Consider the following 25932-nt stretch of genomic DNA (forward strand, 5'->3'; position numbering starts at 1 on the left):
GCAAATGGACAGAACTGTGGCTAATCCCGGTAGGTTGTGGAAACCCCGCTTAGCTGTTCACAGTTGGAAATGGGTCTGCAGCAGTGCAGATGCTAGCTTACTTTGCCTTCTGTTGTGTTTTAATAAACTAAACAGTAAAGCACCATAATAACTGCATGACACATTCAGGATTTGGAAACATGGCTTGGATGAATTAGACCAGTGTTGTTGAGAGCTTGCATTGATGGAAACATGCTGTATCTGCTAGACAAATTTCAGTAGCCTCTAGCCACGTGGGGCTGTGAAGCTCTGGAAATGAGATTAACGCAACTGAAGAACTGAATTTTTAATTTTTTTAAAAAATTTAGTTAACCTTACTTGAAATAGCTGCAGGTGGCTAGTGGCTGTTGGATTTGAGGGTAAAGAAGCATGGTAGAGAAGGCAGGTGGGACAGCCTCCCATCTGCGCAGAGATCTATATGTCACCGCCACCGACAGGAAGACTTGTGCATCCTAACCCTTAGCCTCCTTGTGCTGTGGGCAAGGTCCCTGCTGTTGCAGACCCCACTAAATTCCCAGTCCGTGCAGGTAACTGTTGTGCTTCTGTGAGCCCCCGCCAGTACTCTGGGTGGGGACATGTCTTGCTCAGACAGAGATCAAAGGAGAGCTAAGAGAGGGAGAGAGATGGACAGTTAAATATTGAAGGAGGGCGTTGGCCTTTTTTTACACAGCACAGGGAAGAGACTAGTATGTGGAGGGAGCACTTACATTTGGTAGATGTTCTTACACAGATCAGCCACCTGAACGTGTGTGGGATATTTTTATTACCTATATTTTACATTTCTATTGTCTGTATTATTTACCGTAACTACATTTGACATCTACATATTGCTATGTTTTAGAAGCAGAGGTTTATTTTCACCTCTTTCCTGAAGGCCATGTTTTATAAAACTGACATGTTATCTAGTCTAGAAGGGAAGGCCCAGCTGGGCATGGTGGTGCATGCCTGTAATCCCAGCTACTCGGGAGGCTGAGACACGAGAATCGCTTGAACCGGGAAGGCGGAGGTTGCAGTGAGCTGAGATGGTGCCATTACACTCCAGCCTGGGTAACAAGAGAGAAACTCCATCTCAAAAAAAAAAAAAAAAAAAAAAAGAAGACCCATTGTGCTGGGAATGCTTGAGTCTGAGGAGAGAAAACGGTGGGTGGTGGGATTTGGCACCTCTGTCACAGCGTTACTTCCTGTGCTTTTCTGTCTCCACAGCTATTATAGGACGTACTGATAACAGCTCAGTAAATTTTCTTAAATTGATGAGAACAGGAACAGTCTTTTTGAGCCTCGGTTAACAGTTACTAAGAAATGAATAAAAAATGGTTGAAAAACAGGGAGAAGACCAAGTTAGCATAAATTTTGAGTGCTCTGTGTTTTGAACATGAGGTTTTTCCTAATACTTGTGACTTGCTGATTCTCCTGACTATGACTTTCTCCAGCCAGTACTTAGCCGCGGAGCGGAAAGCAGTGCTCATGAAGGTGGAGGCACACCCAGAGACTGCATGGAGGTGGAACCGGGAAGTCCGGGGTCTGAGGTCCTGCCTGCAGGGTTGAAAGGCATGCCTGCCAGCAGACACATTTGGGAGCCAGAGTGTGCTGTGGTCTGAATGTGTTTCCCCAGATCATCTGTTACTACAGATGATCACCAATTGGATGGTATTAAAAGGTGGGCCTTGGAGGTGGGTAGGTTGTGAGGATGCAGCCCTCATGAATAGGATCAGCAGCCTTGTAACAGCTGTGAGGGAGCTGTTTTGCCCCTTCCCCGCTGTGAGGATGCAATAGGGGACCACCTGCGGGTGCCTTGATCTTAGGCTTCCAACCTCCAGAGCTGTGGGCAGTGCATTTCTGTTGTTGGAAAATTACCCAGTCCGCGGTGTTCTGTTCCCAGCAGGGGCGGACTGAGGCCGTGTGCTTATCGGTGGGGACAGCAGAGCAGAAGCAGTGTCCCCATGAGTTGTAGGCCTGGACCTTAGACCCAGGCTCCAGCCACCTTTGTGTTGGATGCTGACGTCTTTCATTTTTTTTTGCATTCCTCTGTCATTTTGGTCACGTACCTGCTCTGGGAACTTCCCGAGGAGCAAGTGCATGCCAGGCAGTTAATCCATGTGAATGCTCACGGTTGACTCAGATGGAGACAGTTAGAGGAAGCGATTTCCACCCCCGTTTCAAGGGGTGCTTCAGTGTTTCTGGGCTCTGGTGCTGAGGAGCCCCATGCTGTTCCTCATTCTCGGTGTGAACAGGTGTTTCTCACTCAGAGCTCTTCGCATCCTTGTTTCTGGGCTTCTGAATGACTCTGCTGTTGTCTGGGGCCTCGGTCTTCTTTTGGCCTGTGTCGACGCTCGTGGACACCTTCGCTCTTGTGCCTTGCACTCTTTCTGTTTAGTCGTGTGATGATTTCTTTGATTGACTTCTGCTTATATTTTTGGTTTTCTGTATCATGAACTTTTATTCTGATGTGGAATGACTATCATATTTCCTTTTTCTCCTTTGCTCCTTCATTCCCCTTTTTTTAGGCAAATGTATTTGTCCTTTCATGCCTTCTTATAATTAAGGTTGGCACACTAAAAGCACTTTGGAAGTGCTGTCCGAGAGTTGGGACTGGTTGACTCTTGTTTTCTGTAGGAATCCCTGGTGTTCATGTTTTTGGTCACTTTTTCTCTGGCTCCCATTCCCTAGGTAGGAGGATGTAATCCTTCTGGTAATATTGTGGGTATCTGGGGAGCAAAGACACCCTGGGGTGCAGGGAAGGTGGTAAGAGTTCACGTGGTTCTCCTGTTTTCAGCACACGTGCCCCTGCTCCGGGTTGTTGCTGTTGTCCTTCAGAAACTCTGAGGTCTGGAGAGGTGAGCGTGTACCCCGTTAGGCACACCCAACACTGAGGCGGCACCACCAGGGGCCCTGATGCCCACAGCTTGTGCCGACTTGTCACCCCTCATGCAGCTTCCAGTGCTGGTTCTGGTAGTCTCTTCCTCATTCTTTTTGTTCTCATGAGTTTATGCTTCTTGGAAAAGCCTGTTAACTGTCAGGATGCTGTGGATCTGGGGAGGAGAGGCACCTGATAGGTGGGCTTGCTTTCTAGTCTCTAACCTGAAGGGAAAGGCGGTTTTTGTATTTTTTGTTAGTCTTGATGTTGCTGCTTTGGTAGAAAACCTCACAGACTGAATAACCACATTCAATAATTCTCCTTATTTTATGCAAAGCTGAAGGCTCTGTGACATCTGTTTTTCTCACTGCCCAAAGAACTTGGGCCTGAGGGTTGGTTGGGATGCTGTGCAGTCTGAATGCTGCTGGAGAGGACCTGGCAGCACAGCTGCTTTCTGGGCGCCCCTTCTCCTTGCTAGACTCAAGGCAGCAACACATGTGTGCTGGGATCGGGGCCTCTGGTTTTCACAGATGGGTGCAGAGGGAGGTTTTCCTTACTCAGAGTATTATATGTCTGTCAGTTAGCAGTTGTCCTGTCTGTAAAACTGATGACTATTTCCCTTTGTGTCGCATTTCTCCAGGTTGCCCGAAGCTCAGCAGAGAGTCGGAGGCTGCTTTTTAAACCTGATGCCACAGATGAAAACCCTGTACCTCACGTATTGTGCCAATCACCCTTCTGCAGTGAATGTCCTCACGGAACACAGGTGCGCTTGCTAGGCACCTTGGCAACAGGGAGGGTGGATGGCTCTGTGTCCTTCAAATAGTGCATGAAATAGTATGATGCTAATAGTCCCTTGGTTATTAAAGGGTATGAATTTTAATTACCCCTCAAAATTAGTGCTTGAGAAGTACTGGTAAGAAGTCTTTAAAATGATGGTGAGTATTTTTGTAAAAAGACAAATCTTTTCAATGTTTTCCCTACAGCCTGAAGCCCTTTGGCTAATAGGTTGAAGGGGTTAGTAAGTGTTCTGGGGTGTAGCCACAAGCTTAGTCAAGGGTCCTGGAATCATATTTCAGTTCTTAAAACTGGAAGTACATGAGTCCGAGTTACATCAGCTGTAACAGAAAGTATCTCATTTCAGATTAATACAGGTTTTATACACAAAACATTACATTGGAGACCCTTAGCTTTTCATCCTGAAACTAAAAACAAGTGCAACAGAGAATGCACAGACGTTTTGCTTATTTTATGAAGCAAGACAGTGTCTGCTTCCTGCGAATTGGAGGAAGATGTTTCTCAGCTGTTTCAGTTACTGAGGAGGATCTCAGTCATTAGTGAGTGTTAAGAATTGATTTGTTTGAGGATTGGCTTGGAGGAGACCACACCGGGGCTTAGAGAGCTCAGAGGCTCACTTTCTGCTTCTAAAAAGATTTATATTAATGTTTTACAAAAAATTAATACAAAGATTTGTATTAATATTTTACAAAAAATTTCATAATTTCTTTTGAAAACAGAAATTCACACATTTTCAAAACCATAAATGGAAAAGTATTGTTTTAGTAGCATAAAGATAAATGCCATTGTCTTTCTAACTTAAGTATTTAACTTCAGCTTAACCGAACATTTCCACTGAAAGCCTCGTCAGTGAACAGGTGTTGGTTGCCTCTTCAGAAGCACATTTGGGGCTCAGGTGTGGCGCTGCGTGGGTGTCCTAGGACAGCTCAGACATGGCAGCAGGGTGGACTCGGCTCTGGCTGTGGCTGCTCCCTTCAGGCTCTGCAGCCTTGGGCAGATTTCCTCCTGTCTCTGGGTTTCAGCTTCCTTTCCTGAAGGAACTCATTCACAGGGGTGTTACAAGCATTCAAGCTAAAACTGTCAGCAGGTCAGGTCAGGGTGAACGCACCAAATGCTCAGTGAATATTCTGTTGTCTTCTATTGTTTCTTCATTTTTTAATTTTTTTATTTTTTAAAAAAGACCCTGGATAGTTACTGTTTCCTGGGTGTGCTCAAATATAAAAGGATTAAGATTTTTTGAACTTCCTATTTGTTACTAAAGCATCTGCAGCCCTGAAAGGAAACAGCAGCCTTGAACAATGTAGTGAAAGGAAAGGAAGTTAGAACTCACAGCAGTGGCAGAAAAGGAAAACCCAAAGAACCCTCCCTCTGCACGTCCCGCTTGGGAGCGTGGGCCATGTCCGCAGCATCTCCAAGCGTCCAGCATGTTTCCAGTTATGTGCTATGCCCCTACCCCTGGGCTGTGTCCACAGCGTCTCCAAGCGTCCAGCATGTTTCTAGTTATGCGCTATGCCCCTACCCCTGGGAATTTATACATTGAATGAGATTTCCAGAAAGCGCAATGCAAGTGTTAAATTTGTATCTCTGGAAATTCTTCAAGAATTGTTGATGGAGTCATGAGGAAGATGAACAGAAAGTTCATCTTTCTGAGGACCTGTCCTAAAGATGACATTGAAAGTCACTAGGACTGTTAGTTTCCTAAAATGCGAAGCCATTCAAGAGCAGTGCTTGCGGGCGTGTGCTGTGTTGATCCTCTTCTCTGTTATTACCTTAATGAGTGTGTTTGTCAGGTCTTAATGTACGTGTAGCATTTTCCTGAAGTAACTAGAAGAAAGAATACAGGTGGGTTTTTGAGTCAGGAGGGTCTTTGTGCCTCCTTCCCAGGGCTGCCCAGAGAGTGGAGGGGCAGGCTGAGGCCCGCTCGGGACAGCAGCCCCGGGGCAAGTCACCATTGCTTTAGTGCTGGGAGTCAGAGCTGCGGCGAGAGGAAGGTCCCCCGAGCCAGCAGGTGCCGCCACTGTGGAACATGAAGCTTGTGTGCCCTCCCGAGGTCCCTGCACCACGAGAGTTCCCGCTGTGTTGGCCACAGATTCCTCCCCACCCCAAAGACACAGCAGTGAATTGGGGTCAGGCTTCCCTGTGCCAAGGCTCCTTCCTACCTCCTGCCTTTGTACTTGGATTCTTTCTTGGTCCTCTTGCCAGCTTTTCCATGTGTGTGACGGTCTTTAAGCTGCCACACCTGGGGTAGACTAATCTGCTCATGCTGTGGAGTAATTTTTAAGGATTGGTTCAAGTGCAGTGGGTTGAAGTTTAAAGTCTTATTTGCATCCTCACTGTCCTTGTGTTACTTGGGTTTAAGTTCTAAGTGTGAGCCCTGCGAGCGCAGAATGCCAACTCTGACCGTTTTAGCAGCTCAGACCTTCTGCAGCGTCCAGTGATGGCAGCAACACTTGTCCATGGCCAGCTATTTTGAATGAACTATGGGTGTCATAATTTAGCCTTTGAAAATGATTTTTTTCCCAGCAGTTTGTTCCTCTGCACTTGGCTCCATGCTTGCATGTGTTTTGTGGCTGCCGTCAGCCCACAGCACTGTGTCGGTAAGGACTGAGGAGACCCACTGTGTACGGGCTGCTGGCATCAGCAGAACTGAAGCTGAAAGAGCAGTCTTTGGTCAGAGTAGCTGTAACTAGCTGTTTTGTTTTATTATGGCACTACTTTTTTTTTTTTTAACTTCAAACTGAAACTAAAACGATGATCCACAAACATTTATAAAATTTCATTTCCTTTTTAACTGTATTTGTTCTGGCATTGTAAGAGTGTCTTGTGGATATTAGAAGGAGTTTTGCTTGCACATGTTTCACTTTTTTGGCTTCTGGGCTTTTTTTGAGGGAGTGGTGATGAGGGTAACTGTTTAGTTTTGTTAGTTTTTCTCTGCTGTACCGTAGTTAGGAAATTTCACAGGTAACCCTGAAATATAAATAATGACCTGAATGGATTTTTCCTTGATTCTTATTTTGGTGGAAAAGGTACTTATGTGGATTACATTTAAAGGAGTTGAAATATATTTTTAGTATCATAAAGTTTGATTTTCATGGGACTGCCTGATAAATTCTCCAACACCTAGAGAATTGTTGGTAAAATATAAATTGCTCCTGTCTGAAGCCCTCATGTCACTCTATTCATGCTTTAGGAATGGATAGAGTGAGTAATGGGAAGAGGAGCACTTCTGAGTAAGAACTGGGCGGAGGGGAGGGATGTGTGTGTGCGGAACAGGCTGCCCGTGGTCAGAGGGGCCGGCCATGCCATCCACATAGCAGGGGTCCGCCTGGGGTGCAGAGCGTCAGCTGTTCTGCCGGCAGTGATGGTGTGGGCAGTGGCCTTCATGCAGGCCGTCGTCTGTATCACTTGCAAAATTGTAGGTCTGCCCCACCCAGTGATGTTTGGAGCATTGATGTCTGTGAGTGCCTGCCCTGGTGCCTAGCATGGTGAGCAGTCCTGTGGCTCCTCCTCTGTCCTTGTGGTCCTGCTGTCCACAGAGTGCTCACAGTTGCCCCAGCTGAGAAGGGGCGGGGGACAGTGGCTGTAGTGGCTGCAGCAGATGGGAGTCTGTCCTGGACCCTCCTCAGTTCCCCACCCATCTTCCCGGGGAAGGTGGATGCTGAGGAAAGAAGGCAGAGGACGTGTGCGTGTTTAGAAATGATAGGAACACATGCGGTGTGCTCATGGGCTCATGTCAATGCAGCCTGTACGGTGAGCAGGACACCTTGCTGTGCAGGTGTTACCCACAGCAGGCCCCTGAAGATGGCACTGTGCTTTATTTCAGTAATCTCCAGCCTGGGATTGTCTCAAGGAAATGATTTTTGGAAAGCACAAAGTTACAGACAAAAGATGTTGAGTTGTCTGTTGCCCACAAAAGTGCACTTGCTCTCGTGCGTGCGTGCTCTCTCTCACAAAGACAGACACCACGTACACACACTCGGAAGTACTCTTGACAGTCTCTGTGCTACTAATTTTTAAAACAGCATCAACACGATGGGCAGCCTTACAGAAATAATTATGAAGCCTTATATATGGAGTTGATAAAATGTTTCTTGTCTTAATTTTTTTACAAGTGGATATATGCAACATTACCCTTTTTTATAATTTGCTTTAGTATTGATAATATCTGTTAAGTGTGTATATGTATGTGTTTATTGGAAGTATTTCTTGTTGGCAAGGGCAGACAGAGGTGCCGCACCCACATCGTTACTGTTTTTACACAGCATAGGACTGCACCCTGGCCTTGGTTAATGAGACCACCCTGGTTTTGTAGAAAGCGTTGAGATGTAAGTGGCCTTCTCAGAAGGTCTTACGTGCTTAGGAAGTGGAAGGCTGGTTTCCTAATGACTGTTTGGTTTTCAGCATGGTGTTTGAATCGGTTTCATTGGAGGACATTCTCCCTGGCTGCCCTGGCAGGGGATCCACATGGAATAAGGAGGGTGAGAAGCGGGAAGGGCTGGCACCACCCTGGCTCTCAGTCCTCCTTATGGGAAGCTGTGTTTAGGTTGAACTCTCTGAAACTGTTAATGTTCACTATTTGTGGACTCAGTTTCCTCTGGGTTAGCCAAAACACTGTCTGTCTTTTCCCCGGGAGCCCTTGATGGTTCTGGTGTCCCCGAGACCTCTGGCAGTAGCCAGCTTGGCTGGGGTGGTGCGGTGGGAGGCTCCTGTGAGACCAGAACCGGAAATTGGCTTGTTTCTCAGTTTTGCTGTTAGGATTTTCATGTTTATTTTAGGACATCGTTTACATAATGAGGATATAAAAGTATCTTTTCCTTTTAAGGGAAAACCTCTAGACTAGGAAAATTTGTTCCTAGGATTTGTGCCATGGGTATCATTTGAACCAAGCTCTGCTGACTAGAGACCCCTATCTTCTAGGATGGGGCGTGGTGATGGGGCGGGGGTCACCTGGGTCTCCTGGATGGGATGTGGTGACTGAGAAGTCATCCTGGTCTGGACCTGGCATCGGCTGCCAGCGCTGGTGCTGCCTCCCCTCCTTTCTGTGGGCTGTACACTGTCAGATGTGTGGACTGATGGCACATGCAATTTGAGGGACAGCAGACCCAGGGCCTGACAGAGACCTCAGAGATCGCCAGTGAAGGGGTGTTGCGGTCAGGTGACTGTCAGCCTTAACAAACGTGTGGGTGAAGAGCTGGACCCCCCACAGAAGCCTGCCCGTGTCCTCTGCCACAGCCATGGGAACTCTGAGGACAAAGATGACACACATGAGGACCCACTGTAGGGAAAGATAGGCGAGGCACTGTGAAGGGGATGGTTGAAGAGGAATACAGAAAGTTCTAAAACTTGTTTCTGACTCTTTAATTTTGGGATATGCACTGTTTCTATGTCCATACACAGGGACACCTTCCTTCCTTACGTGTTGTGAGGATTGAATGTAACAATGCTTTTGAAGTTCTAAAGCGTAAATCAACATTCGCTGTCTGCACACAGGGACCCCTTTCTTCCTCACGTATTGTGAGGATTAAACTTAAAGCTTTTGAAGTTCTGAAGCCTAAATCAGCGTTTGCTCTCTTCTCTTGCTGCTTCTCGTGCTCCTCACCCCAAGAGCCATTGCCTACTCCCAGGCTGAGTGCTGGCAGCACATAGGTGGGGCCTGCTCGCTGGACGAACTCGCATCTGGGGATGACTACCATCAGTGTGCTCTAGCTCTTTACCGGAGCAGCTCGGTCCTTGTTCTACCACCTTGAGACTCTGAGATTATTGGAATCCATTCTGGCTCTGAGTGTGCATGTTTCCATTGGATATGTCTGCATGGCACTGATGTGCTGGAGGACCTCGCCATCAGTAGGATCTCATGGAGACCCACATGTCCTGTGCTGTGTATAGTTATTGTTGCTCATATGAGAGCAGGAACGGGACCCCTTAGGGATGGGAGTCCCCTTTGGCATTTCCAGATAAGCAGCGCAGATTTGGGATAAAAGCTGGAGCCTTCCAGATGTTAAAAGCAACACTTATGTTTCATAAATTCTGGCTGTTGCTCATGGAGATGAGAGAGCCACCATTGTCTCTCATTGCTAACCACGAGTGTCTCTCTTGCCACTTGCTGCCCAGTGAGGAGTTGGGGGAGTTCATGGAGACCAAAGGTGCCAGCAGCCCTGGGATTCTCGTGCTGACCACGGGCCTGAGCAAACCCTTCATGCGCCTGGATAAATACCCTACGCTGCTCAAAGAGCTCGAGAGACACATGGAGGTACTGCGCTTTCATTCTCTTACTTGGAGTCCTTACCAAGGGTTAGTGGCATGGTCAGACTTACTGTGAAAGAAAGTATTATTCATGATTTATTTTAGAAGCCAGAACCAACAGAGTTTACAAAGAGTTTTGTTAAATATTATGTTTTTCTCCTTATTCCAGCTCTATTAGAAAACATTTACCCCTTATCTCTCTTTTACCCACTGCTGCTGATTGAAAAGTTTCCAAAAGCTGAAACATGAGAACTGATTTTCAGATAGTGTTGAGATGTCTTACCTGGATCATCCAGCTACAAACAATGTGTGCATAGGTTATAGGGTAATACTGTACTAATCATTTGATGAATGATTGTGCTCTTTTAATTTTGAATAACAGGTTGCAGCCTAGCAGAAATTTGGGTTGAAGTTACTCTCTTGGCTTGAGTTGGCAAACCTTTTCTATAAGGGGGCAGACTGTAGGGTCTTCTTCACGGCTACACAGCTCTGCCATTTTAGATACTGTATGTGAGCCGTGGCAGTGTTCCAATAAGACTTTATTGATGAAGCAAGTGTTGGCTTCCCCACCCCTGCTGCTTGTGACTGTTCTCTTCCAACTTATATTTCCCCAAAGTCTAATGGCTTCGTGATTTGCTGAAAGACTGACACTTTAATGCTGAGGGAAAAAGGGAATGTTAAGGGTTGAAAAGTGTTAGAAAAGTTTCAAGCTGGTCTGTAGAAAGTACCTTTTTAAGAAAAGCTTTTCCTTATGAAAGCTAATTGTATGTTTCTTTTACTCAAAGGATTATCATACAGATAGACAAGATATTCAAAAATCCATGGCTGCCTTCAAAAACCTTTCAGTAAGTGATTAAGCATATTGTTTTCCCCCCCAGACATTATTGTGACAAATGAATGTAAAAGAATTATCAACTGAAAAAGTCAAATGATTAAAAAATGACTTGTGCTGACATGAAAGAAAAACAGAGTCGGCATTCTGTGGCTGGTAAACTCCTTTTAGTGGACTATGATAGAATAATTATTTAAATTTTTTAAAGTCACTGTGTAATTGATGTTAGATCTACTTTAAAATTGTTTAAAACATTTTTTTACCCTTCATTCATGTTGTCTTTAATGATTTATTGCAAAACAGAACAATGGTGGTTCCATTTTCTCTGCTGTTGTGTTGTCTTACCAACTGCGTTTTGGAAATATATGGCCTTATTTTATAGCACAAGTTATACTTTCTGTTTCTTCTTTTCAGTCTTCCATATTGGCAAACACGAACAAAACCAGAATGAAAATACAGTTCTTGTCCTGTCCACATTTCTTTTTTGTACAAGTGGCAAAATGTGCTCTATCTTTCTAAAATAATACTTAGTATTCCAGAGCAGTTGTGTGTGTTGCTTCTCTTAACTTGGTTTCATACTTCTAAGCAAATACTTTCAATTCCCTATAATTAAGCAAATCGCTCAATAAATTATCTGTCTGAAGAAGTAAGATATAAAGCAATAATTGTCTTAAGGATGATACAAAGCAATGTGGCCGGAACTTAACATTCTGAAAGTTTATGTCTGTTAACAGTGTTGTTCTGTGTCTGTCAGGCCCAATGTCAAGAAGTCCGGAAGAGGAAAGAGCTTGAGCTGCAGATCCTGACGGAAGCCATCCGGAACTGGGAGGGCGATGACATTAAAACTCTGGGCAACGTCACTTACATGTCCCAGGTCCTGATTCAGTGTGCCGGAAGTGAGGTACTGCTGCCCACATGCACGCACCAGGGTTTCTGTCCCACTCTTAGGAGCTCATAGCAGAAGATTTTAAAGGCATCTCAAGCGATGAAAAATGTCTAATAGAAGCTCTATCTTATAATTTGTGAGCTACTTTTTATTCTTGACACAGGAGAGAGGCTTATGGCATGTTAGAGAGGCTTAGAGCTGAGTGTGGACTTGTTGATCAGTTTGATCCAGCTGAAGTCAGTGTGGCCCGAAGCCCACGTGAACTGAAGGATAGATAGTGTGCAGAAAGACTTGCAGGAGTCCTGTGCACACATCCGCATGGAGCTGTATGCGCTTATCTGGCCAGCAACTTTGTACCAAGGCTCACTCTCACAGGGACCTGCTGCTCTCAATGCTTTCGGGTCATTATACTTTCCTGTGAAAGTATGCTAGCTGACATATGCTTACAGGAGTCACAGTTTTCTTACAGGTTTGGTTTAAGTGAGAGATCAACCCAGATTTTTGGGACATACCCACCCACACAGTGAAAATCGAGCAGTTTGTTTCATGATTCACATTGACATACATTCAATGGGTCACTGAACAGGCACCTCTTTCTGAATTTTATTCTACCTTTGCAAAAATAACATGATCAAAACATGCGAAATGACTCATTTTTGAACACAAGACTCCAAGGAGAATAAGAAAACTAAAACTTCAAACTTATATAGTGTGTTTTCCTTTCCACCTGTAAAATATCACCCCTTCTACATAGTCTTGTAGTTTGGGTACCATAAGAAACCATGATTATAAAAACTTCACATCTTTTCAGAAGAAGTTTCTTTTTGAGTCATGCTCTTTTAAACTTTAATCTGTGGAAACATTTCCCAAAGTGTGTTCTTTATAATATTAGATCTATACAGCACTGGTGGGTGTTACTCCAAAATGCTTCAGAGTGGTTCTGATCACGACTGAACGTAATTAGTGGAAAAGATTCTTTATGATAGAGCTCCTCAGAGACTTGGCTGTGAATGTTCCCAATGTATGTTGTGATTCTTCAAGAGGGGAATATAGCAAGTCGTTCTCAGTGACTTCTTTAAAGTACGGAAGACTCTTTTCTCAAGGTGCTTTGCATAAGCCTAATGTTCTGAGGAATATACTTGGGGAAACTAATTCCTAGGACTGATTTCACTTTTTTGGGCCGTAGTTTAAATGTCAACATGTGAAAAGGACTGTGGCATTTTTTTGTCTCTTTTTGGATTCTTAGGAACTTTTTTCTTTCACTTATGGTCTCTTTGGCTTTTATCTTACTGAAGCAAATGATTTTTAATACATAAGTAATACTTTTAAGTCTGATGTAAACCAGGTGATGTTTATGGGGTGGATGAAAACAACACTGAGTCGACATTTGGGAGGTTTGGGAAGTGCCAGGAATTACTAGTAGACCAAAATTGATTTTAACATTTTATCCTTTCTTTAGCTTAAAGACTCCACCTGTTCCCCCTGACCCCATTAAAATTTATAGGTTCTCTCCTTTTTCTCTGAACCAGAAAAAGAAAATTTTAGCTTACCTGAAAATAGTTAATCACAGAGCTGAACTCTTTAACCAAATATAGTTTCAAGATGTTACACAGGCTAATTGTGAGTCCAGGATCTTTTAATCAGTCCGTTTACTTTCTTACCTTTTGTTTTTTGAAGAATTTGGAAGTCCTTCTCTTTACCTATATGTTAAAGCTCTCTCATAATCATATGTTAAGACTTAATACAGAATTTATCATAATTGTTTCCATTTAATTTACCTGATAAAACTTGATAGAAATACCTAAACGAGAAATATCATGTAATGTTTCATAGGGCCTAGTATAAATAAGTGAAGTATTTGTGCTCACATTTGTTAAGTAGATGTTTTTTAAGAAATGTTTTGGATTTCTTTTTTTGTATTAGGAAAAGAATGAAAGATATCTTCTACTCTTCCCAAATGTTTTGCTAATGTTGTCTGCCAGTCCTAGGATGAGTGGCTTTATCTATCAGGTAAAACACAATTTAAATTTATATTTTATTGTGGATCTGAGGATAATTTCAAACTGGCTTTGAATTTTGTGTTAAATATTACGTGTATCTATCTGTGTATGTGCTGTGTGTGTAGTGCTGTATATTCAGATATGGACGTACAGCTCCTGTTTGTGTTTCGTTGTGACTGCAAGCATATCCTATGTTAATTTCAAAAAAGGAAAGAAGTGTAAACTGTAGAGCAACCTCATAAGGACACAGACTACTGTGGCACAAGTCAGTCTCTGTCATTGCCTTCTGTCGTTTCATGCAAAATACCTTGCTCCTCCTTGCTATGGTTTTATTCTGTGAAATTGGTTCAAGTAGGGCTTGTGGGTTAGTGGGGTAGTGTAGACTAAGATCTTGTGTCAGTGGCACGGCACCGCCCAAATGCATCAGCAAACAGAAAGTGATGTAAGGGTGTAAGTAGCAGTGTGTGATCGTTGAACCTTTTTAATTTTTGTTTCCCTGCTTCTCTTTGAGAAAATGTGACAGCAGATTTGGGAAGGAGGTGCAAGGGTGAGCAGGGCCTTTTCTGTTGCGACAGTGGTTTATAGTGGTGGTATATGAAGGAGCTGGTATTTTCGCTGTCTGTCTAGTAGATGCACTTGGCAGGTTTCATTCTTCTTTTTCTGGGAAGTTACAGAGGCTCATATCCTTCCCATCAACTTTCTGAGGACTGGCCAGTCACCACGTAACCACTGCAGCAGAAGCCGCCACTTCGTGTTCTCTGGGTTGCATTTCATTGTAGCACGTGTTGTTTTGTGTTGGCGCAGCAAGGACGTTCAAGATCCCTAAGCAGACACTATGCCCTCACAGAGGCTCTGCCGACACCCAGAGAGGACTTGTGGCCATACGCTTACACCAACACACGTGCTTTAGAATTGGTGAATCACATATGTAGGAACAGACTCAGGAAAGTGAGGCTGTAGTTTGTTAGGCCACTGCTGAAGAGAGGTGATCTGTGGCTAGGATAGTGCCCACTACAGTTTCCCCCAAACTAGCAGCTACTTCTGTGTTAAATGACCTTGATAAACCTAAATCTCTGTCCTTTCTGGTCAGCACTATCTGGCTTCCGATTTTATATCCCCAGAATCTCATTCCAGTGGCTGGAGGCAGGGGCCTTCTCTAACCTAAGGAGAGAAGAGGTTGTCACTTGTGGCAGGCTTGAGTCTCTGCCTGTGTGGCTGGTGCTTACACTGGATTTGCCCTTGATGTGTTGACAGACTGCTGGAGCTCATCTCAACAACAGGATTTTATTTTTCCATTCTTAGCACAGTGGTGACCCATGGTCTCTGTATCATTGGTATCCGTTTCTACCATTAGAACACTGGCTTTGGGGGATGCCAAAAAGTGTTCGGTCCAGCCACAGTCATAGTGTTCTATACACCGATGTTCAGAGGGGCTAGGTTAAACACAGTTGTGCGGTTTCATTTTCTGTAGGACTTACAGCTGTTAAAGTACTTATATGCATTACGAATCTTGGAAAGGAGTTCACAGTGTGTAGCATTTTTTAAATACGCTTGGCCACAGAAGTGTCCAGCAGTCTCCTCTTCCACCGGCCATGCTTTAGGATGAGATTTCTCAGCCTGGGCACTGCTGACGTTCTGGACTGGATCGTTCATGGCCAGGGGCTGGGGGTCTCGGTGAGACTGTCCTGGGCACTGTAGGGTATCAGCAGCCTCTCTGGCCCTTACTTGCTGGAGGTCTGAGCCCCTGCCAGGTTGTGGCACTGCCACCCATTCTCTGTGGGGGCACGTTCCCCACACCAGTTGAGCAGCACTCCGTCTGGAGGTGCTTATGTAGAATCCTGCTCCGCAGCTGATGGAGTGCTCCCCAGGCAGCGCTGCCCAGACGCCCACTGCCTCTTCCTGCGGACTTGGTGGGCCACCATGTACTGTGGTTTCTGTCAGCTGTGCCAGGATGTTTTGTGTTCACTTCTGACTTGTTTGTAATGATCACTTTGTACCCCCTTTCTGGTATCTTTCCATTGACATTTCCTGGTGCAGTTACCGATTTCTTCTGTTTTCAGGGAGCACTGGTTTGCCAACCATTTTGTGCATTGTGTGCAGCATTTAGCACAACTACTTATTTTCTGTTTTACAAAGTAGAATGTTATGAAATTCTTGTTCTTGCCTCAATTTCCCACCCTTATTTTGACTTTAAACTTGGAACTTCCTCTGCATTTCTTTACGAGGAAAATACATGGTTCTTTTCTGCAAAAACATCATTTAAAACAACTGTTATACACGGTAGTTTTTTAAAAATCATAATGTGTGATGTCTTTTGTCCTGGTGTCTATGTTTAGTAGCAGCTCATCAGATACAGTGTGTGTTTGGGCTTGTCACTCTGTCCCTTGTCGCCAGTTGAGTTTCTTGCTTACAGTACAGTATTATAATTTATTATTTGAGATAAAAATTTTTGTATTATACACACATCTGCTACAAATGAGCTTTTTTTGGTTCACAAACACAGTTCCTCCACCAATTCTAAAATCATTTAATATTGACTTTAATAATGGTACCTTTTTCTAGAAAAGCACTAATTGTTTTTTTTTTTGTGGGGGGGGGTCTTTTTTAGGGAAAGCTTCCAACGACAGGAATGACAATCACAAAGCTTGAGGACAGTGAAAATCATAGAAATGCATTTGAAATATCAGGTGATAGGCACAAGCTGTGTGAGTGCTGTGTCTCGGGGAGGAGAGGCAGCTTGTCCCCGCGTGCAGATTCTTGCTTGCGTATTTCAGAAGGTGGTGTTTAAGCGCTGAGTGGAATTCTGGGGGGTGTGCACGCACGTGCTTTTTACCTGTGTTTCCACTCGGCCTATTTTTTCCTTCTCTCCTATAGGGAGCATGATTGAGCGGATATTAGTGTCGTGCAACAACCAGCAGGATCTGCAGGAATGGGTGGAGCACCTACAGAAGCAAACGAAGGTCACGTCTGTGGGAAACCCCACCATAAAGCCTCATTCAGTGCCATCTCATACCGTAAGGACTTGGTGCTTCTCCTCCTTCCAGACTCCAGGCGTGGCATCCCGTGGCTGAGCTGTCAGCAAGTGATCAGTTGCTTTAAAACCTAATCAATATTTGGATAAAAAGTGCAAAACACTTGCTTCACATTTCTCTGCAGATCTTTGGCCCTCTTCGTGCAGTAGTGAATTGTTTTCCAATGAGTGTTCTCGAGAAACAACCCTGAATTGTGCCTCCTCACGCACAGTTCAGAGGTGCTTGGGTGGGAAGCTGCTTCTGCTCCGTGTGGCCCTAGAAGACTGATTTAGGGGAGTTTTACACTCAACTATAGATGATTTTTCTGAGAATTTTAACTGTTTATTATGCTTCATTTAAGAAAACAAAAAATAAATGATTATGATGATGAAAAGGGCCAGACTCATGTTGAAGGCATTAAAAGAATTTATGACACACTGTTGATTTTAAGAAATTGAGGTGTCTTTTACTTAGAAAAGCTCAACAAGTCTTTGGATATTTAGAGACTTTTTTTTTTTTTTTTTTTTTTTTTTTTACAACTTTTCAGAATAGATGAACACTGAAGCTTCAGTGTTTAAACCTCTCCTGGTGTTTTGTGCTCAAGAAGTTGGTATCGGGTTGTTTTAACAGTCGTCATCTTTATCAAGTAATACGGAAAAACTGGGCAGAGCTTTTAAAGAATGAATGACGATGACACAGGCGTTTTCTGCTTACAGATTTCCTCACATCCTTATTAGGCTATTAGGATCAGCTCTGTCGTGTGCTCAGTTTTCATGTTTTCTTCTTCATGTGAAGGTTGTAGCTCAAGAAGGATTGCTGTACTCTGATATTCTCATCAGAGTTTCAGAGTCCATCTGATTTCTTTCAGCAGTAAAGATTGTAACTACTCATTGGCTTTTAGCTAGCATTTCATTTTTAATGGCTCTACCATTTTAAAATTCTCCATTCTTTCATGGAGATCAGTTTATCCCAGGGACGTGTGTGTACACGTGTGTTTATAAAGAACAGTGGATGAGCTGCTTCACTCAGGTTTTCAACAGCAGCCTGAAACTCTACTTCATACAATTTTATATCAAGTCAGCTTTTCTCTGTGGCCAGACCCTCCGTCTTAGTGTTTCTTTCACTGGTGGCTGGGAAGGCATCCCTTCAGCGGGGAAGGCACTGTGCCTCATGTTTAAAATGTTCTGCATTCTCCTACAGAGTTTCTTGTGTGGGATGATGTATTCTGTGATCCAACTCTGACCAGCTGAAATCATTTTCTAATTTTAGCATAAAGCATACTTCCTTTGACTTTTTCAAGAAAGGAGAAACAAAACCAGACACTGCTTTGACGTTGTTGCTAGAAGGGATGTCTTACATAATTTTATCCATCTATACATTATTTCCTATGAAAAGATGACCTTACAGTGGCTTCATAGCATGACCTGCATCTCACACAATTCCCTCCCCCATGCAGGGACTAGAATGTGATCGTTGCAGGAAGTTGATGGCTTCTATTCTTGAAATTGTGGCATTAGCTGCCGTCCCTCTCAGCCTGTGTTTTGAAGGTCGCGCACTTCCTCAGAATGCCGGCCCCACTCCGTTTCCAGTTCACAGCGCCACACAGCTTGTTCTCCCATTAAATGCACCTTACTATTGTTGGCTAATTTGAGGTCATTATTGGCTGATTTTGAGAATGACTTATTTAACTTTTCTCATTTAACTGTCATTGTGATGGAATATTTTGGGTTTTCCAGGAATATAAAATGCATTAATGGCACACCGCTCTAAGAAGTTAATTTTTGATTAACTTTGTTTTGATTAAAGTTGAGTTTTCTAAGAACATAATTGGTTTTAATACCAGGGTTTGGCAGTGTTCAGTAAAGATCCAGATGGTAAACGTTCTCTGCTTTACAGGTTCAGGCCTCTTGCAGCTGTACTCTGCCCTTGGAACACAACAGCAGTTTTAGACAGGCACAGGCCTGCCTGTGTGCCAGGAAAACTTTTTTAAAAAACAAAACTAGGCGATCAGGCCTTAGTTTCGCCCAGTACTTTATCACCAGGTGAAGAATAATACGTGGCTGGGGGGGAATCACCTTCCTTCTTACAGCCACATGCCCTGTGTGCTTTTGTGAAATTCTCATCTTTTTACTAGATGAAGTACCTTTTTTCTATAAATGTTACTCCGTAGCTAATAAATGTGGCTAGTGGATGTCTTTTGAGTGCTGGGGCCCCAGCTAGAGCTGCCCCTCCTGTCTGGGGCAGACGCCGTGAGGAGCCCCACGCTCGGCCCAGGTGGCGCGAGCTAGTGTTTGGCCCCAAAAACTGACTGCTGAGAGCCAGAGATACGAATGAAATGATAAATCCTGAGGTTTATTTCACATGGAGTGTTTAAAGAGCAGAAGGAAGTGCGTGATAAGTGCCCTTTCGCGGTGAGCACGCGAGTCTCATGTTCTCTGCCCTTCCCGCTCTGTGCCCTTGGCAGCTCCCCTCCCACCCGGTCACTCCGTCCAGCAAGCACGCAGACAGCAAGCCCGCGCCGCTGACGCCCGCCTACCACACGCTGCCCCACCCCTCCCACCACGGCACCCCGCACACCACCATCAACTGGGGACCCCTGGAGCCTCCGAAAACACCCAAGCCCTGGAGCCTGAGCTGCCTGCGGCCCGCGCCTCCCCTCCGGCCCTCAGCTGCTCTCTGCTACAAGGAGGTGAGGTCCCTTGACCACTCAAACAGCCAGATGACGGTGAGCATGCCTCGGGCCCTGGGTGTGCCCACGTGCTGGGCCTTCTGTGTACAGCAAAATGCACCCTAACTCCTAGAGAACTGAGAAGGGGGGGTCTGCCTTGGTTCTCTGGTTATCTGCTCTGCTGCTGAGAGGCCCGTGGTAACCTGTGTGGGAAGGCGATGTGCAGGGTCCCCCTCCTTTCTGCCATGCACAGGGGGGCCTTTACTGCACTTGCCGGAGGAGTGTGCCGCCAGGGGCCAGGAGCTGGAAAGGCGCTGAGCCCAGGTGGCTTTCACTCCCTGTGTGTGAGGCCATCGCTCAGCATCTGCACGCTGTCTGCTGCGTCTAACGACCCCTCCTCTAGGTTGGGGATCCTGTCCAGGAGCCCTGCATTTTGTCATCCAGAAGCCATTTGAGATGAAGAGAACATTTACTAATACAAATGAAAAACAATCACTTAGGCGGTTTCCCCCTTTGATGCATAAGAAATCATGATGCGGTCTTTGCTTGTCTCTGTTCTCATCCGGCATTTTTATATTTGCTAGGCGCAAATAAAGTACGATTCCAATGAATAAATAGAAGTGTTAACACTTCCTTACACTTTTACCTAAACCAGCTTGGATGAGGAAAGGAAGTGTCTTTAGAAATCTGTTCTGAGAAGTACTTTCACCTGAGGAAGCTGATAATTGAGATGAGAGTTGTTTTCATAAGCAGTTGAGCGTGCATGGTGGTGAGGTATGAGGAGTGGCGGTGAGAGTGTGGGTATCGTGCGCGTCAGTGTGAGCAGCAGTGCCCGTTGGTGGGGTGTGAGTGAGCGTGAGGATGGTGACACGCTCTTGCCTGGCATTGTGCCTCTGTGTCTGGTCAAGGCCACATTTGCCAAGGGAACTGGAGCAGACTTTTTCTACATTCTTGCCGGCAGCCCTGGGGGTTTTAAGGCCCACAGGAAAGTACTGTATGAGAAATTAGGATCTGTGCTTTTCATTTTTTGTTCTGAGTCTTTGTTTTTATGATATCTTTCAGGTAATCATGTGTGCAAGTCAGAATTTCCATTTTCTATCATGGGAAGTTACTTGAAGAATGTTGCTGTTCCTTATTGTATACTTTAGTGTGCACAGTCTAAAGAAAAAGTGAGCTACTACAAGAACTGGTGGAGACTGAATTACTAGGGAAGAAAATTGGGATAAAACTGTTGGGCAAAGAAGTAGAAAGGGCAACGGAAGGGGTATTGAAGTGAAGATAAACAATTTTTTTTGATAAGTCTGGCTGCATTTGCTTTGCCAACTCCACACTGGGAGAGAAGGGCTCACACCGAGCAGCTGCCGTCCAGTGTTGCTGAGCACCGCCCAGCAGTAGCGTGGAGAGTGATCTTGCAGGGTGTGAGAAGAGGACATGGAGGCTCGTGGAGGCCGCTCTGCAGCCCGCTCTGCCTGGCTCTGGCTCAGGTGTGCTGTGTGCTCTGTGACCCTCTGCGCCTGCAGGTGCCCTCGGAGCACGTGAGGGGCGGGCGTTGGCTCTTCAAGGCTCTCCATCTCAATTTGCTTCGAATTAGGGAAGCCATGAGCACATGTGTATAAATGTGTCTTCTGGAACAGATTGCTGCTGCATTTCTAAGAGCTTTCCAATTTTTTATAGAAATACTTTTGTTTAACTTTTTGAAGGCTATTTTAGATTCAGAGTTTGTTACGTGGCTGTATTGGGTGATGCTGGGGTTTGGGCTTCTGGGGTACCTATTACCCAAATAGGAAACATTGTACCCAATGGGTAGCTTTTCAAAACTCACCCCCATCACCTTCCGCCTTTTGGAGTCCCCAGGGTCTGTCATTTCCATGGTCATGTCCATGTGTACCCATTGTTTAGCTCCCAAGAAAAGACTTTTAAAGATAATTTTAAAAACCAAGCTTTGTTTCCTCTGTTTCCAGCCTGGTTCATTCCATAGCACATCTCATCTTCTGAGTCTTGGTCTCGCGTTTAGCATTCGTGATGGTTTATGTCGTTGGGGTGATGCAGAAACCAGCCTTTTTTTGATATCGGTATTTAACACGTGCTTGACAGTTGACACCTTACCTGCTCTGTTGGGACTTGCTTTGCTCACTTTGTTTTTTGCCGTCGTCTTCTGTGCTTGTTTGAAAAGCTGTTTGAAGAGGTAAGGGGTGGGCCATTCCGTTGTGAACACTCTGAGCTGGTGTGCATGTGGCCCCTGCACAGCAGCCCTGGCCGAGCTTGGCTGTGCTCCTGGCACTCAGAGTCAGGTAGCTGAGCACTCGCTCCCTTTTCTTCTCCCTGAAACTTCAAATATTTTCTTAAAGCAATTATTTTTTACTTATCTGTCATTTAATGACAACCTTAGTTTCCTCCTCTCTTTCCAGTTAGCTGTGCCAGGGGATAGGTCTGTCCTAGGGAGCAGCTGCCCCCTCCTCTCCTCCTCCCTCAGGAGCGTGCAGGATGTCTGTGCACACCAGCGCCAGCCTGCCTCCTGGTGACACCTCTCATCACAGGACTAACAGGACCCAAATGACACGAGGGGTTTTATTAGAATTAAAAAAAAAAAATTAGCCAATGACTAATACTGAAAATGCCCTATTGATTTTTAAAAATTAACGTTCAGAAGCTGGTAAAGAAAAATCAAAGTAGGAAAAGGCGAGAAGCTCTTATCAGTGGCTATAATAATTTGGGGTTTTATACCTTTACAGCAGCCTTTCTGATATGCCAGTGAAAATGATTGGCTTTAGAGTATGTTAGCATTTTCTTTTGTCTTTCCCTAGGATCTTAGTAAGAGCCCTAAGACCATGAAAAAGCTGCTGCCCAAGCGCAAACCTGAACGGAAGCCTTCAGATGAGGAGTTCGCGTCCCGGAAAAGTGAGTACCTGCGGTCCGTGTGGTGGAGGACGTGGCCTCCTGGTCACGTAGGCCATGGCTTTCCTGGGATAGAGGGAGGCTTGGTGGCTTTCTGAAGACTCCAAACAAAAGTAAGGTCTGCCCCTTGAGGCAGTGATAGGAATAAGCCACGTAACATTTACCCAAGCAAGCAGGAGAAGCGCCTTTGTGTCAGTGGTGAAGCCTCCGTGCCAGTCCCGGCACCACTGCCTTATAGCCCCTTCCTCATCCAGGAGCTGGGGCCGGACCTGGAGGGCTCTCCTGCTCTTCTGGTTCTCCCTCTCGCCTATAAGATATTCCACCCACACTTCCTGAAGTGCCAGCATCTCCCAAAGCACCCTGTGTCTGTTAGAAGCGTGACCTGCTGTGTTCTCCTGTGGGTAGCACCCACCCGTGCTGTTCTCTTGCTGGTCTCTCTGCTGTTGGACCTGTCCTGTCTGCTCCTCAGGCCTAGGGGTCTGACTCAGCTCTGGGTTCCTATGTGGCCTCGCAGCAAGCACCTGGCACCTGTTAGGTGCTCGGTAGATAGCTTTTGAATAAGTGGAGCTCTTTTCAGAAGTAAGTGATTTTCCTGGGGGTGACTGCTGGGAAGGGGTGCACGTGAACAGATTGCTGTGGACTGATGGGTGCAGCCCAGGGAGAGAGAGCCAGCTCTGGGAAAGTTGCAGGATCTGTCCTACAGGGCTCTGCCCTGCCCCGCCCCTGTGTCTGAGCTCAGCCTTTGTTGGTCCTTTGCCTTCACTGCTCACTTCCTCCAGCCTCAGGAGGAGGCCCAGCAGCCGTCCCACACGCTCACTGTGCCATGCCACTGCTGGCCTCCCCTCACCGCCACCTTATCATCAATCAGCCCAGTGAGGTGACCGTGCTGGGGTGTTCATTCTTTTCTTGTCCTTGTCACCTGATGTCCATGGCAGTATAAGTCACCATCCTGACTGTCCTTCTCCTTAGGTAGTCCAGGTCCCTGACCACCAGGGCCCCTGATGAGATGGTGAGGCCCTGGGGTCTAGTGATTGAAGTGGAGCTGGTGCTGGATGCCTGCTCTGTTGCTTACTGGCTGTGCCGGGGCTTCTCTCTGAGAGGGCTGTTCTGTGGGCCACTTCCTTCAGCAGATCCAGGGGCAGCACTGAGCTGGGCCGGGGGCCGGCTGCAGCTGAGACCATCGTTCATGGACGCGTGCTTCATCAGCACCTTCGTGGGCTGGGTGGGAAGGATACAGTGTGGCCGAAAGAGATCCCTGTTCTCATAGAGCCTATGTTTTAGTAGGAGGATACAGACAAGAAACAAAACAAGTGAACAATGTGTGGGCCATGGAGTGCTGCAGAGACCCAGTGGGGAGGACAGGTGGGAGATTCGGTGCCAGGGCGCCATTTGAGCAGCCTCCTGGGGCTGAGGAAGCAGGCCAAGCAGGTGTCTGGGGAGGAGCTCTCCAGGCCTGGTTGCAGAGACCCTGAGCAGGAACCCCAGGCTGTGCCCAAGGGACAGTGCGCTGTGTGGGCCCAAGCTCCCCTGGCAGAGCGGGAGGTAGCACAGCACCCTGAGCAGCAGGCAGCCAGAGTCCGGTTCCATAGACAAGATGATGGGCCCGGGTTTTCACAGGACCACGGGCTGCCGTGTGGGGAACAGACAGGCACGGATGGCCACGTCGACACTGAGAGTTGTCGGCCTTTTGTTTTCATCTGGCTGGCGTGTGGAAACACGAAAATGTTTTAATTTTCATTTCTTGTTTTAGCGAGATTGGACATTTTTTCTTAGAACTCTTCTTGTTTTGTGACTTCCTTATTCCTATCTCCTGCCCTTTTTTCAGTTTGAGAGTGGGGATACTAATTTTCTTACGGGTTGGTAGGATAATCATTATAAAGTTAGGATGTTCGCCGTTTTTCCAAATGTGTTGCAAATATTTTTATTTGCATTTATTTTATTTTATTTTGAATATAACTCATGAATTTTGTAGAAAACAGTTATCTGACAAGAAAATCAAGGGCAGATTATCTTACTTGGTCACTTTGGTCGAGTTGATGTCTGCATTGCATTCGTCTCGCCAGTTGCCCTAGAGGCCTTTCAGTTCGACTGTGAACTGTTGCGCATCTCTTGACAGGCACAGCTGCTTTGGAAGAAGATGCTCAGATTCTGAAAGTCATTGAAGCTTACTGCACCAGCGCCAAAACAAGGCAAACACTCAATTCAAGTAAGTTTAGCAATAAGGCCTGGGAAGTGTGGTGGTTTATTCTGTTTAGTTTCAAATTACAGTCTGAAGGAACCTGTTGTGGTAGGCCCCTTGCACAGCCCATGCGCCTGACCTCCCAGTGAGTGATGTTTCAGTCAGGGGTGGCAGGCAGGACAGCAGCTGAGCTTCAGGTCCCTAAATTCATGCAGCTGCGTCTGAGCTGTGGGCACAATTGCTGTGTGATTTTCTAGATAAAATTATACTAGGAAATATTTAAATAGAAGGTATTGCCAGAATTCATAATGCTTTTGCTAAGAGAAGACGTGTTTAGAAGATAGTGGAAGATTAGTTCAGTTATTTCAGCTATTTAAACTGTTGGTGTAGTACTGGAATTTTTGGTTTTTATTTTGTTATTATTTTTTAGTTTCTTAGAAATATCCAAAATACAAACCTTGAGCAAGGTTTCTTTTAGCCTTTCTAAAAAATAATTGCTTTTAAAAATTTTTTGGAAATTTACAACTAATTTATTCAGCAGATTTCAGAACCACAGGATTTACGTGTGTCTGATGTACAGTGTCTTAAATGAAAAACTTTTTTCTATTAAGGTGGCTTTTTTTTTTCTTTTTGGAGACGGAGTCTCGCTCTGTCACCCAGGCTGGAGTGCAGTAGCGTGATCTTGGCTCACTGCAACCTCTGCCTCCTGGGTTCAAGTGATTCTTCTATCTCAGCCTCCTGAGTTCCTGGGATTACAGGTGCGCACCACCACGCCCGGCTAATTTTTTTGTGTTTTTAGTAAAGATGGGGTTTCACCCTTTGGGCCAGGCTGGTCTTGAACTCCTGACCTCAGGTGATCTGCCCGCCTCAGCCTCCCAGAGTGCTGGGATTACAGGCGTGAGACACAGTGCTCGGCCCTAAGGTGGCTTTTTTTCTTTAAATTTTTCCTCCGGTGTTGCCAGTGAAGCACAGCAGGGTGGCGGCTGATGCAGCGTGCCTGTCATTTACCCTGCTGGCATCTGCGTGCCCACAACAGCTGACATGTGGGCACGTGCTGCTGGGGCCTCGGACACCACAGGTGGTCCTTTTGAGAACTGGATGATTTCTGTATTATCTCAGCATAGAAACTGATGTATCCTCAAATTTAGGACTTGGTGCCCTTTCCAGCTCGACTGTCACTTAATCTCACTTGCTCGTTTTGTTAATCACCTGCAGTGTGGTGGTTCCAATTAGTGTCATGTATTGTTTAATGCTGAGAAAAGGAGAGAGAGGGAAGAGGACTTCTCAACTGCTTTAGCTTTTATCAAAGACGGCTGCAGCTGTGAAGATAGGATGAGCAGGGTAAATCCTTCACGGAATCTCGATTATCCAGAAGCTTCTTTTTTTTTAACCATTTTCAGTATTTTACTGGTGTCGTACCATATCCCGTCTATGACATTAAGACTTTTTGCCAAGGGTCAACACTGTTGGTTTTTTTGTCCATACTTTAGTGAAAAATATCCATTTGTAGTGACTGCTTATCAGAATAGG

The 25932-nt window shown here is 45.4% G+C and overlaps 1 protein-coding gene across 60 annotated transcripts in view, besides 1 other annotated feature; it reads left to right on the forward strand.

Annotated features, from left to right (window-relative positions):
• ARHGEF7 (Rho guanine nucleotide exchange factor 7) overlaps window positions 1-25932 on the forward strand; it is a 191116-nt gene that overhangs the window by 149396 nt on the left and 15788 nt on the right. For 35 of the 60 annotated variants that reach the window (NM_001320852.1, XM_047430728.1, XM_047430732.1 and 32 more), the window contains 10 exons: window positions 3534-3656; window positions 9800-9938; window positions 10717-10776; window positions 11518-11664; window positions 13573-13659; window positions 16258-16336; window positions 16524-16663; window positions 19125-19349; window positions 22133-22226; window positions 24340-24429. In NM_001320852.1, the coding sequence (NP_001307781.1) occupies window positions 3534-3656; window positions 9800-9938; window positions 10717-10776; window positions 11518-11664; window positions 13573-13659; window positions 16258-16336; window positions 16524-16663; window positions 19125-19349; window positions 22133-22226; window positions 24340-24429 (1184 nt within the window). Of the gene's footprint in view, window positions 1-3533; window positions 3657-9799; window positions 9939-10716; window positions 10777-11517; window positions 11665-13572; window positions 13660-16257; window positions 16337-16523; window positions 17111-19124; window positions 19386-20390; window positions 20813-22132; window positions 22227-24339; window positions 24430-25932 lie in introns of those variants that run through there. The other 25 variants (XM_047430722.1, XM_006719956.4, XM_047430726.1 and 22 more) reach the window with 4 other exon arrangements.
• Window positions 15897-17096: an enhancer, noted in NCBI's record as "BRD4-independent group 4 enhancer chr13:111932258-111933457 (GRCh37/hg19 assembly coordinates)". NCBI's record gives its function as "activates an origin of replication core promoter dependent on BRD2, P300/CBP, MED14 and CDK7 cofactors, and independent of BRD4, by STARR-seq in HCT116 cells {active_cell/tissue: HCT116}" and the evidence as "EXISTENCE:reporter gene assay evidence [ECO:0000049][PMID:35650434]".

The sequence above is a fragment of the Homo sapiens genome, chromosome 13 (genome assembly GCF_000001405.40).
Source record: "Homo sapiens chromosome 13, GRCh38.p14 Primary Assembly".
NCBI lineage: Eukaryota > Metazoa > Chordata > Mammalia > Primates > Hominidae > Homo > Homo sapiens.